General features: G+C 40.6%; 1 protein-coding gene across 7 annotated transcripts in view, besides 1 other annotated feature; it reads right to left on the minus strand.

Annotated features, from left to right (window-relative positions):
* Positions 1-13961, minus strand: part of FYN (FYN proto-oncogene, Src family tyrosine kinase) — a 213121-nt gene that overhangs the window by 167859 nt on the left and 31301 nt on the right. The window lies entirely within an intron of this gene.
* Positions 9732-9821: an enhancer, noted in NCBI's record as "active region_24954". NCBI's record gives its function as "activates an Ori minimal core promoter by ATAC-STARR-seq in GM12878 lymphoblastoid cells {active_cell/tissue: GM12878}" and the evidence as "EXISTENCE:reporter gene assay evidence [ECO:0000049][PMID:35858748]".

The following is a 13961-nucleotide window of genomic DNA, read 5'->3' on the forward strand; positions in this document are numbered from 1 at the left end:
CCTTGGAGCAAGCAGAAATTGCTTACTGAGCTCAGGATTCCCCAAAGTGTTTTCTGAAAAACCCATGCTCTGTGGGATACCCAAAGGTGTGATGTGGAAAAAGAACTTTGTGATCAAACAAGTTTATGAACTGAGTATAAAAATATGTTAAACAACAGTAGTTCCTTAAAAAATTAAAAATAAAATTACCATAGGATCCAGCAATTCTACTTCTGGGTATCTAGTTGAAAAATTGAAAACGGGGTCTCCAAAAGATATTTGTACGTCCATGTTCATAGCAACACTATTCACAATAGCCAAAAGGCAGAAGCAACCCAAGTGTCCACTGATGGATGAATGCAAACAAAATATGGTCTATACATACAATGGAATATTATTCAGCCTTAAAAAGGAAGGAAATTTTGACACACGCTACAACATAGATTAACCTGGAGGACATTATGCTAAATGAAATCAGCCAGTTGTAGGACACATTCTATATGATCCACTTACATGAGGTACCTAGAGGAGTCGAATTTATACAGACAAAAAGTAGAACGGTGGTTGCCAGGGGCTAGGGGAATGGCAGAATCCGGAGTTGTTGTTTAAGAGGTATGGATTTTAAGTTTTCCAAGATGTAGTCATGACTGGTTGCACAGCAATGTGAATACACTTAACACAACTGAATTGTACACTTTAAAATGGTTAATATGGTAAATTTTAGTGGCATGTGTTTTACCACAATTAAAAAAACAACACATTAAACAGTCTTTGCAGTAGGACTTCTCAGAGCCTTTAAATGTTAATGTGCACAGGGAATCCCCAAGAGGGGGATATAACAAGCAGCTCTTCCCAGCTTATCTGGCCACAGAATCCATTTTCCACACATCTCCTGGGACCAATGTGCTTCAGAACATGCTTTACGAAATGAGCTACTAAATGGAAAACTGTTAGAAAACATGAAATCCTATTTTTTACATTTACATAGAGGCAGGCGAGATTCCAGAGCCTGAAGTCAGATTTTCAAAACAGTCTTAACTCACCATCATCCTCTCATAGAGGAGAATCAGATTCTATCCTCAACTGTGTCACTCATCAGCAGGGTGGTCTTGAACAAGTAGTACTCTCCCCGGGCCTCTGATTTCTCACCTGATGTGTGGGAAAAATACCTGCTCAACCTATCTCACCGGTCTGTAGTAAAATCTAATTAGAAACATTTGTAAAAGAACCTGAAAAGTACCAAGGGCTATTCAAAACGTAGGATAATTAGTAAGTATGTACTAATGCTTATTAAGGTGCAGCAGACAAGGAAGAGAGCCCAGGTCTCTCACATCAGGAGCTCAGATTGTTAAGCACAGAACAGACACCAATAAGCACAGAAATGAAAGAAAGGAAAAGAACCATAGACTGAGCACTTCCAGTAGAGCAAAAACAGGGAGACTGGGAGAATGGAAGTCAGAAAACATAGGTTGAGAAGCTGATTTTACTGCTGTCTGACCTTAGACAAGTTATTTAGCTTCCCTGACTTGCGGCTTGTTCAGCTGTCGGATGATGTAGTTGGAAGAGATAACCTCAAAGGTCACTTCCAGCTCCATTAAGTCTATGAAATACTGCAATAGACATGCCACGGATACATGCATGATTCCTTCATCAGATGCTTAAGGGCCTACCCTGTGCCTGGCTTGGTGCTAGGATGTGGAGAAGAACAGATCACTGTCTCCATGCTCCTTGTTGAATAAAGCAGGAGCCTCTGGCCTCCAGACCAGCTGGCCTCAGAAGATGAGGCTGCTCACATGGGGATGTCAGGGACTCATTTCCTTTGTAGTATTCTCCTGGTCCTCCACCCCCATAATTTTTTTAAAAAGTGTTTCTAAAGTATCTTTATTGAACTACTGACTCAATGGAGCCAGACAGATGGTATGGAAAAGTTGCTAGGTGAAGAGAAGTGCAAGCCTCCACAGAAATAAGGCTGCCAAGTCGTGGGGACCCATCTTCCTGCAGAGCCCAGTGACTTAATACACAGAAAATGTGAGATGCCCAACGATGGCTTGTTGACAGACTAATGATCTTACAGGGGCAGAGTGTCAGCAGTACAGGAAGATGGGATAACAGTGGTTTGAGACAGATATGCAAGGAACCTGGAAAAATAGTTTCTGGCAGAAATGGGAGTAGGAGAGCCAGCTCCCACAGTGAATAAATTGGCAATTTAAAATTTGCTGTGTCCAGTGATAGAGAACCACTGAAGGTGGCCAAGGAGGTGAGAGCAAGGTAAAGTGTGTGCCTGCGTGTGGCAGACCACATACAAGGGAAGACTGAGTTAGAAAGTGTGGTAGCACAGTGCTGGGAGAGAGTCCAGGGGCAAGATGACTGGGAGAGTTTAAAGGACAGATGTTTTAAGGCTTGCACTGTGGTGGTGTGGACAAATAACAGAAGGGACAAAAGTGGTAGCTCTGCTGAAAGAACACAGAATAAAAAGTTATCAATATACTAGATGCATGGAGTTAAGAAAGCATGCTTGTTCCAAGGGAACTGTCTATAAATTCTCTGGGAGATAGGGCAGAGGGAGAAGTTTATGACAACCTATAATATTAGTAACTGAGGATATAAGGGGATGAGCTGGAAATCAATGGTAGTGAAAAAGGGATCTCTGTTTCTGTCACATTTAGACTGATTGGTAAAATGAAGATATTGAGTAAAAATGTCCTATGCAGAGAAGGTATATATAAAGATGGATTTGTAGACATTGTAGACACTGTAGACATGGGCATGGGAGAGACTAGGCAAGGGGGTGGAAGTGCAAAACAGAAGGGGGGCTATTTGTGTAATCCACACATATCTTTGGGTCCTTGAATAGGCACGCAGGGGTCTCAATCAAGACCTCCTGAAATATCATTCTGTATCAGTGTGCGTATACATGTACAGGTTTCTGTGGGGGAAGATTTCTAGCTTTCATCTGATCCTCAAAAGGCCCCCAAATAGTGATTTTGTTGGCATTAAAATCCTCAACACTTGATGGAAAGTTTCTCTCCTATCTGCTTGATAGATGTGCCATGTTAGAGCACTTTAAGAATAATGCACTAAATCTGTATTCATTAACAAATTTAAGAACCAAAGAATAACTGTTACTATTCTATCATCTTGTTAAAATTAAGGTACAAAATTTGGTATAATAATCCAAAGACTCCGACTGACATTGGCAAACATACTTAACTCAAATATTTTACATGTAAAATGTTAAAAGCATATTTTAAAACCTTGCAAGTATAGGTTCCTCACAAAAAGTTTAATATGTATAGGATTTCTTTAGCACAAGGGTACCTGGCTCTGCAATATTCACAAATCTGTAATATTCAAGGACCTTGCCAAAAACAGTTGTTGAAGCTACTTCTAACAGTCGTGACCCTCCCTCTCAAAAGGATGTTATCAAGTAGACTGTGCAGTAATGACTATAAATATGTGACATGCTTATGTTACTATAAATAAATGTTGCACTTTCTCACAACCCATTTAATTACTGTTCACCTAAAGCTACGCAATTAACAAAACTGTCTGAATTCTGAAAATGAGGAAAGCCCTCCTGTCTCTCTTAGGTAGTTTTACAATCCTAACAATAGACTTAATGAAGCCTTTTAAAAGAAGGATGATTACATTAAAATGATTGGGGCATGTAGAAATTCATTACATACATCCTCCTGGTGTCTGATAGATTAAATGCCTCATCACACCCTAGAGAGAGGGAGGAAGAAAGAATAAAGAATAATACAACTGTCTGAGTGAATATCTTATACCTGAGATTGAATCTGGCCCCCATCCGTCACTCAGGACTACACGCTACACCCAAAGTTTGAGGAAAACATGCTTGGTAAATTATCAGGTAAATTATGAAGTGCTGCTTGTTGAATATCAATTGACATTATAATCCATACATTAATGATGGTAAACAACAATTATGCAAGTTGATATAACTTTTTCCCTTGGAAAACTGATAAGGGATACAAAACCAAAGTATAGTCCCTGGGGAGTTTTCTGGGACTGTTAGCATCCATTACACAAGTGCTTCCAGGGATAGCGCCGAAGGACTGGATTGTGTTAAATTCATTCCTAGATATTTCATATTTTTCTGTTACTACTGCAAACAGAATTGTTTCCTTCACTTGATTTTCCAGCTATTAGCTGCTAATATACAGAAATGCAATTGATTTGTCTATTGACCTTCTATCCTGTGACTTTATTAAATTTACTTTTTAGTACCTTCTAGTATTTGCTTTATACGTTCCTTAGGATTCCTCTACATAAACTGTCATATTGCCTGTGAATAGAGACAGCTTTACTTCTTCCTATCCAATCTTCACATTCCGCATGTGATTTGGTATACTGCTTTTTTTTCTATTTAACAACCTTAAACATTTGTCCAACTTATTTAGCAATTTTGATCATCATTTTAATTAATATATAATATTCAATTTAATAGATGTATCACAGTTTACATAATTAAATCTCAAATGGGGAACATTGAGGTTTTTTCCATTTTTTTTGGCCAAAAACAACATTTCCAAATTATTTCCAGAATACCATGCTGCCTTCTCAAATATGTACTGTCACCATCAAAGTTTCAAATAGACAATACTAGTCAATATATAATTAAAAACTCTGACAGAAATATTTTGAAAATGCCACCATCACTAATCTTTCTGGCCTGGGATCAAGTAAATCTGATGAATGCTATTAATGAAGGGTGACCCAGAAATAACAAGTTAAAAAAAGCTGCACTTCTGAGACTCCAGAGAACATGTGCTTTTAATGGTTTAATGCTCTACTTTCAGTTTCATAGGAATGCTAACAAAATAAGTTAGGCTTACTAAAATCTAGATATGAAAGAATGGAAATGTTTAAAAACAAAACAAATCCCACCAGTTTTACATATCAGAGTGGTTAGAACTTACAAATGAAGCCAATATGCTCACCAGGGACTATTCCTATTTCACACTTAATCTGCTATTTAAAATATGGACCCATTTTTCTCAGGTCAAGTGAATGAGCAACCACAGGAAAGCTCTGTGTTCTCATCAAAGAAACCTACAAAGTAAAAGAGACAGTAACATCAAATCCAGTGTAAGTTTACTGAATTTATAAGACACAAAGCATGGCTGTCAGAAAAATCACTTGTGTTTTGGGGAAAGTAATCTCCAAAATATCTGTGTGCCTCTGCGTAGATATCTGTTTTAAAAGCTTTATTAGGATCCATGCCACCATCAGTTTGATGTAGAAACGGCACATTTACATGCTTGGCAGCATTTACTACTCAGAGCCCTGGAGATTATTGCTGATCAGGGAAAACTGAGTGAAAACAGAGAGAAACGGGTGTTTCCATACCCGTAGATACCAAGATGGAATCTACTCCCTGATGACAATGTGACCCACAGTCCACACAAGCTAACCTTTCATGCTTTCCATAATGGCTGTTTAAAATCTACATCCTTCTCTTCATTTCCCCAGCTCTCCACATTTCCTTTCTTTCCTTTGTACTTGCCCTTGCCTTAAAAGTTAATGTTTTTTCGTGCGAATGTCAAGTGGTACAACCACTTTGGAAAACAATTTGCTATTATTCAGCAAAGTGGATGGTGCACACACTCTAAGACCCAGAAATTCTTCCCTTAGGCACCCATTCTAGAAAAACTGCAGCAGGATGCACATTCAAGAATGTTCATAGCACACTATTTAAATAGCAAAACTGGAAATGTCCCAACTGTTCTTGAGAGAAGGGATAAAGTGGTCTTCCACTCATACAATGAGTGGACCAGACAGCAGTGAAGATAAATAAATTTGATGCATGATGCTTCATGCATCAGTAGGAATGAATCTTAAAAATGTTGAATGAATCTTAACAAATGTTGATGGAAATAAGCAAATGGTAGAAGAAGACCATTTATATATAGTCCCAAGGTAAATAAAAGTTAGCAATAAATTGTTTAGGGAAACAAACTTACAGAGAAAAGCAAGGAAATGATAAACATGAAATTTAGAATACTGGTTCCATTGAAGGAGAAGGGTGTGGAGAGTGAACTCACAGGGGCTTCCAAGCTGCAGGATGAGTAAGAGGATTGTTTATTTCTCTCTCACACACACACAATGTAGATGTGTGAGTGAGTGTGGATACACATACACACACCTATTCCTTTGTATGCCTCATATTAAAAAAAATTCTTATGTTACCCTGAGCCCTGGGCCCACCTTCCTCAGTGCCTCCTTCCCAGTACTCTGACCCTCTGTAGGGCCTTGGGCTTGGACTCGTCTTAGTTGGAGCACTTGCTCCTTCTGCCTCCCAGCTCCAATCAAACAGAAGACTCAACATTGATGACCTCTGTTCTCTACAAGGACTCACCTGCGTTTATCCAGGCTACTGCTGATGGGAAGGTGAAACCCAGCAGGGATGTACAGAAGGTGGTGCCAACCTTGCTGCAAGGGAACGTGCAAGGAGTGCCCATTTCTAATCTGTCTGCCCAGAGTGCAGACACCTTTTGCTGAGTTGTACTCAGGAGCTGCAGGCGGCAGTGCTGGCCTAGGTCTCCCACCCACAAGCCAACCCCAGGGTTGCCTCCTGTTCACAAAAGTTTATCAGTTGTATTACTGCTGCCCCAATTACTACTGAGTGGTACCTCACTACTACTGACTTCCCCAAACCACCCCTTCTTCCTTCCTCATTCCTATAGAATAATCCCAGACCTACCCATCTCTCAGACACCCAGACTCTCAACTTGGCATAATTCTCCACCTTCCCCTATCCCCATTTTAAGAGTAAACTCAGAGTTTATTTTTCTGCTTCACCCACAGTTAGGAGTTCCTGGTCTTGGTACCATGGCCTGAATTTAGACAAAATAGGAATTTTTATTGGATTTATTCTATTTCAGGAATGTTTATTCTAAAAGCTTTTCTTATTTCCTACTCAAAAATTAAAATTGGTAAGTTAATTCAAAGGCAAGTGAATTCAGCTGTTTTTTCATTTCAATTTTTCTCAACTATTTAGTAGATTACCTATAACAACCAGAGAAACTGTAACTACTGTCCTAAAGATCTGAATCTAGGTAATTTGGTTTTTCTTAAAAAATGTTTCACACCATCTGCATTGTAACATGAAAACAAAATAGCAAATCTCCATTTTCACTTTAATGACCCTATTTTCATTTGATCACTGAAATACTAAAGTGATACTAAAGTGAAGGATTGTTAGGAATAATGCTCAAAATCCTAAGGAAATTGAACACTCGAACAAAGAATTCTTAGCAAAGCAATTTTACTTCTGCGCAGAGGGGTGCCTCCTTGGCCAGTCGCCATGAGAACACACCTGAACAAAGGGTCATGAGAGCCTTTATTCCTGAAGCAAGTCCTGCCCCTGTACCCTTTCCCCATTGGCCAGGGTCGGTTCATACAATCTAAACTAATCCCAGTTGGCTAAACATTTGATTTTTTTTTAGATAAGGTGGGCACGTAAAAGAAAGTGGAGGGGAAGGGGAAGGGGTGTCTGTAATGAGCTAGAAAGTTAGTCCTCTTTCCAAATAAGGAAAGGAATGTGAGCTGGTACTGATAACGCCTGGTACTGTGGCGTGCCTGGGCATCTAACAAAGGCAAAAAGGAAAAAAGGAGAAAAAGGAGAAAAGTGTGTGGGGGGAGGGGTTCTATGAATTAAAGAACAAAAGATTGATCAGATTATTGGAAGAGAAACCTCATCATATCCCACAGGATGAATGTGAAAAACAAAAACAAGAAAAGTAAGGACAGGTTTCTGCAGGTGGTGGCATACTGTAAAGCAAACTTTGGCTCCACGAGGAGCAAGACACTGGTACAGTTAAAGGGCCAGGCTGAATGGATACCCTCCATGCAGGATTCTGAGTTCAGCAAGAAACAGAGAAACTGAAAGACAACTCTGAAATGCCAGGTGAGTGAAGGTGATTCCAAAGTGAAAGGTGACAAGAACTGGTCTCAGGGACCTGGTTGTGAGGAAAGAGAAAACACAGTAGGCCTTCAGAGAAAGGCATCTGAGGTGGCCAATTCCTCCAATGTGGGTGAAGAACGCTCTCAATGATCATAGGAGATGGCGATATGACGGAAAATATGAAAACCTGTCATTCACTATCTCGAATCTCAGCTGAGATATGGAGTGATACTCATGGGTTAAACATCCAGTGAATGATGGTTGCCTAATATTTACATGCAAATAGGCCTCAGATATTAACTGATTTGGGCTTTAGCCCCCAAAAGAAAAATTTTTAAATTATATTTCCAACAACAACAACAACAACAACAAAACAAATGCTAGGCTGTGCGCGGTGGTTCATGTCTGTAATCTCAGATCTTTCGAAGGTCAAGGTGGGAGGATGAATTGAGCCCAGGAGTTCAAGACCAGCCTGGGCAACATAGGGAGACACTGTTTCTACAAAAATAATAAAAAATATTAGCCAGGCGCTGTAGCAGGCACCTGTAGTCCCAGCTGCTAGGGAGGCTGAGGTGGGAGGATCGCCCAGGAGGTTGAGGCTGCAGTGAACCGTGACTGTGTCACTGCACTCCAGCCTGGTTGACAAAGTGAGATTGTGTCTCAAAAAAGAAACAAAGAAAAACAACAAATGCTTTTTTCTGAACGGACACATTTTGCTCTGTTGGTTCTGAAATGAGCCAAGAACATTATATAGTATTTGTTGTTGTTATTAAACAGTATCATCTAGAAAACACAAAAGCCTAATTATATTTTCTTGGCCACTGTAAAAATGGAATACTGTAAAGATATATGATTGGCTAGTTAGCCAATATTTATTAATACCAAATATAAGAAAACAGAATAAATATTATGATAACTGTCAAAAGTTTTTTGTCCTACCAGTTCATGGGCCATATATAAAAAAAACACTCCTGACACTTTACCAGTGAGGCCTTCCCACACCTAGCACCTCACTGCGGTCACCATAACGACTTCTAAACTTTACGAGTGGGTTTTATAAGTTACTTTATTTTCAATACCTAAGGGCTGTTTAAACTTTTTCTCATTATCAAATTTACTTTTTTGCGGTAAGCGGCACTTTGATGTACATCAAACTCTCTTGTAAAAGAAAAAAATGTTTTTTCCCTCATCTGGTAACAGTAGAATGGGGAAAGTGGCAGGTACTTCAGTTTTGCTTTTTTTTTAAATTACATTTCCCCTACTCCTACTCTTTAGAATATTCTAAAGATGGACAAAATCCTCCCCCGACACAAAGGTTTTGTCTTCAATTACCGTAGCATTATCTATGTTGACACACAGCAACAGAAAAAACAATACGGACAGGTGCCTTCCCTCTTGCCATTCTTCTACCCTGTGTATGAATCCACTCGACGTCAAAGTTGGGAGTTAGTCCATCCATGGCCAGTACTGACCAAAGAAAGGGGGTACAACAAGTAGAAGTTGGTAAATGATGATGATTTTCTCCCCTCACTGGCATCTCTTCATCTAACTCCTGTTGGGGATTTCACGGCACTTTGTGCCTCCACTTCAGACACTCTTCACAGTTGCACCTTACTCTTGATGACTGTCAGCTTCTCCCGTGGCCTAGCTCTTTGGTGAGACGGTCAGGACTTCCTCAAGCCCCCAAGGCTCACATACTTTCCACCACACGACGCTGCCTCATGTTCCACCCTGAAACCATCTCACTTTCTCATGGCAGCCTTATCTGGAGGGACTATGCAAATGCACAAATTGCTGTTTTATCCCTTCTGTTATCATCACTGATCCACGCAGCATCTCACTTTCTTTCACTTTACACTCTGACTGTATTCAGTAGTGACACATTTCACAACTTAATGAACGCCCCTAGATCTTCCGAAAAGCCATCATGCTCACCCAACAGTGGGAGCTGCTCTCCACAGACCACACATACCCACAAAGGAGGATCAGTCTTTAGTAGAGGTGAACACTTAACCCTCATTACCCTAGTAAGATTAGTACTCCTCATCTGAATGCAAGATTCCAGTCCCTCCTTTAAAAAAATCACCCATGGGCTAATATTTGGGTATGTTACAGGAAGTGGGACTCAAGATTTAAACCTACTAACATCAATGAGGACATCCAGGGACCTCTCCACTCACAGTAGTGACTGACTAAGCACCCTACCAACTTTCCCTTCCCATGGTACTGCTCCATCTCAGGGCAGTTTCACAAGACTATTATGACAGATCACAAATGCAGAATACCTTGATGTCAGCAAAGCACCTGATAGTCACTCAAAAACATATCCAAGCAAGATGGGAAACCCTGGTCCAAGTGATAATTCACTTTAGTGGCCTCAGTGACTGAATGGCCATACCCAAAGACACTAACATCACAGAAGAACAACACTGACCTGGAGAGAGGTCCTTGGAACAGGGCTTTGCACATTTGTCCCTGGTCAATGTTTTCATCAAGATGTGCTTATAGCAGTCACAAATAATTCACAGTTGAAAGGAGATAGTTAATTAATTGGACGACAGAATAGAGATTTTAAAAGACTTAAATAGGTTAGAATGACAGCCACAACTGACCAAAAGAACACCATCTTCCTCTCCAAATTAACAGATAAAATCTTGCTTTCAATTGTAAATAATCTATGGTATGTGTGGATAGGATGGTGTTATCACTTGCCTCACGTTCAGTTGTTTACTGAATGGAAACAACTCATCCTGTTTACAAGTTCTGCCAGTGATCCTGTCTCCAGACTCTGGGTGGGTATGGCTTTCAGCCACAGACATTCAGAATCATATCAATTTTACGATTCTGACTTCAGACCGGGGCTTCCTTTTACTCTGGGCTCAAGTATCTGTCTTGGGGCCTACCTCATTTCAGTAGTTGACTCTATAACTCATTCTTTTGGACTCAGCTCTTTGCATTAGCTTCTGAACTGAAGTCCCTGCACATCTGCATGCCTCTCATCTGGCTCTACGACATGCCCAGCCATACATTTCTGCTGCCAAACTTCTGTCCATCTAGACAGCCACCTATAGAAGAGTTTCCTCTGTACTATGTCTTACCAGATTATCCAAACTGCCTTCTGTTTACTCTGCTGCTGGTACCATTCCCATGAGCATGCCCCAGCTCATGGATCTGTTTGTTCTCTAGATCCCTATCTGGTCTATATTCTGGATCCCAAGCTATACCATCCAGCTACTGACAGAAATCCAGATCTCCTATGTAGCATGGGGAAAGGAGATGAGTTTAAAGCAATTCATACTTAAGAAGTCCTAAGGATTTTTATCACACATAAGCTCAATGCAAGCTGAAGATATGATAAAGTGACTCGATGAGAGATGTAATATTGGTCTGCATCAGTATAGCCTATACTGATGCAGAAAATGTGCACCTAAGGAGACCTGATAGTAACCTCTTACTCTACACTGGTCAAACCATCTTGTAAGTACCGTGTTCATGTCCAAGAGCCATGTTTTCAAAAAGACAGTGATATAAAGGCAATGTATCCAGGAGGAAGTGACCAGAATGACGGGATTCCTGACACCAGCTAATGCAAGAAAGTTATAAGAACTAGGGCTCTTGGACTAGGAAAAAAGGATTTTTCAGGGGTTGGGTTTTCAGGTACTGAAGGGCTCTCAAATGGAAGATGACCTAGAGGCTTGTATCACCAGAGACAGCTTGGGGGTCTGCAGGAACAAAGCGGAAGGTGTGGGCTAGTGTAATAAGTGCTTGTCCCATCTCTGCTCCAGACTCGGGTGACCCTACATCTCTAGCCCCAGTTTCCCCCAAAGACTGAGAGGGTATGATTTCCAAGGCCTCTTCCCAGCTTTCAGAGCCCATAATTCCTCTTCTTTACATAAACCTCAATCTGAGAAAGAAGACAGGCGTGGCCTTGCCCGCTCTGGGGACTGGAGAAGAGACTAGTTCTTAGATCTTCCAAGTGGCCCCTTCTAAGAAAATTAAACTGACTGAAGTAATGAGTGAAACAAGGGGTTGCAAGCTTTATGTTTCGATAAATGAAAATTACAGAAATTCCCAAATTGAGGTATGTTAGGCAGAAAATGCCCCCCAAAAGGTATTCACTTCCTAATCCCTTTACCTTATATGGCAAAGATGTGATAAAGTTAAGGATTTGAGAGGAAGAGCTTATTCTGGATTATGCAGCAGGCTCTAAAAGCCATCCCAGGTATCCTTATAAGAGGGCTGCAGAGGAAGACACACAGATGAGAAGGCAATGTGAGGGCAGAGGCAGAGACTGGAGTGATGTGGCCACAAGTCAAGAACACTTGCAGCCACTAGAAGCTGGAAAGACAGGAAACAGATTCTCTCCATCTCTGAAGGTATCGTGGCCCTGCTGACACCTTGCTATTGGACTTCTGACCTCTTAAAACTGTGGGGGAATAAATCTCTGTTGTTTTTAGCCATCAAGTTTGTGGTAATTTGTGACGGCAGGCACAGCAAGCTAACAAAGAAGGTTTTCTGCTCAAATAAAATTTTGTTGTGGGCTAAAAGTGGGCAGTAATAACCTTTTAAAGGAAAAGCTTAAATTTTTATGTATTTTTATGGCCTATACAACACCACTCTTAGAAAACTGCAGCTCTGCTCTTAAAAGTATTTAGGGGCACTGACAAAAGCATCTTTTCAGCCATTCTTCACATATATTTTATTAATAATCTTTCCTTCACATGCAATTTCAGCAGATAATAAGTCTATGCAAGGCAGACAACCAAATGATTCCAACTTCTACACAGCAGGCCTGGCTGCAGTGAAACAAATTATGCAGTATCTCATGGCTACAGGAGAAAGCCTCGGTGTAAAAACAAATGGTACAAAGTATGTAGGTGAGAGCTCGTCTTGTCTCTCCATTGTAACGTGGGCAGCATTTCTCCCCACTCTCTCCTGGCAACATCCAGCTTTTGTCATAGGGAATGATGAATGCTACTCAGATGAAGAATATACGAAATGATCCCCAAGTCTGGGAACCAGCAGTGGAAAGAAAATGAGTGTCTCATGGGCTTCCCCCACTCCCACTGCCTGCAGATGCCACCCCTGGAAGTCATTTTCACGCTTTCACAGGGCGACCACCTTGCAGGGCCAGGTCAGGTTAAAGAGGTGATTCTCTTTTCAAGGTTTCCAATTGTTCCTTGATAAAAACATCATTACTACTTTTAAAACCACAAATAAGGGAGAAAGACCTTTTAAATTCAGTGAAGAGAAAATGAAAGATGTGTAAAAAAATACCAGTTAAATTACATGAGGCTGATAATGATGGCTTCAGGACAAGAGAGCATCCACAGTGGAGGAGAAAGAGAAGGGTGCTTCAAGTCTGAGATATAGTTTTGGATCTTGCTGCTTCCTAGATGTTAGTCCTTGGGCAATTCATTCCCCTTTGGCTGAGCTTTATTTTCCTCACATACAACGTGGGGCAACCGAATAAGATAACATGTGGCCTAAAACAGTGGTTGGCCTACCAGTGTTCGTTAATGTGTAAAGAATGAATGAACTGTTCTATATCCAGGACTAAACAAGGAACCCTCAATTTTTCAACTCTTTCCTTGAATCACGCTGAAAATATTGTTATCTGCAGTTGTTCTAGATCAGTTATCAATATCCTCCTAAATTTAGAATGTCTAGGAAGAGGGATTTTTTTTTTTTTTTGGAAATTCAAATTGGCAGAGGGTAGGTATATTTTTCTTCTTAGACAGCACCGCTTAGTTTTACAATCCAGGGATTTACATAAAAGAAAGCTGGTCAGTTATTACGCATGATACATAACAACTATTTTTGGGCCAAGACTAACAATGATTGCCTTTGAGTCTAAAACAGAATTCTAAGCATGTCCCTTCCTCCTAAACACACACACACACACACACACACCCATGCATGCATTCTTGCTCTTTCTCTCCCTGCCCGCAAGTCAAAGCCACTTCCTTTTCCTGGTCCCCAGTCGCCAGAAAAGTGGGTTGTGTGAAACGTGACCCTTACTCAGTTATACACTGAGGCTGGGTCACTCCGT

The sequence above is a fragment of the Homo sapiens genome, chromosome 6 (assembly GCF_000001405.40).
Source record: "Homo sapiens chromosome 6, GRCh38.p14 Primary Assembly".
Lineage (NCBI taxonomy): Eukaryota > Metazoa > Chordata > Mammalia > Primates > Hominidae > Homo > Homo sapiens.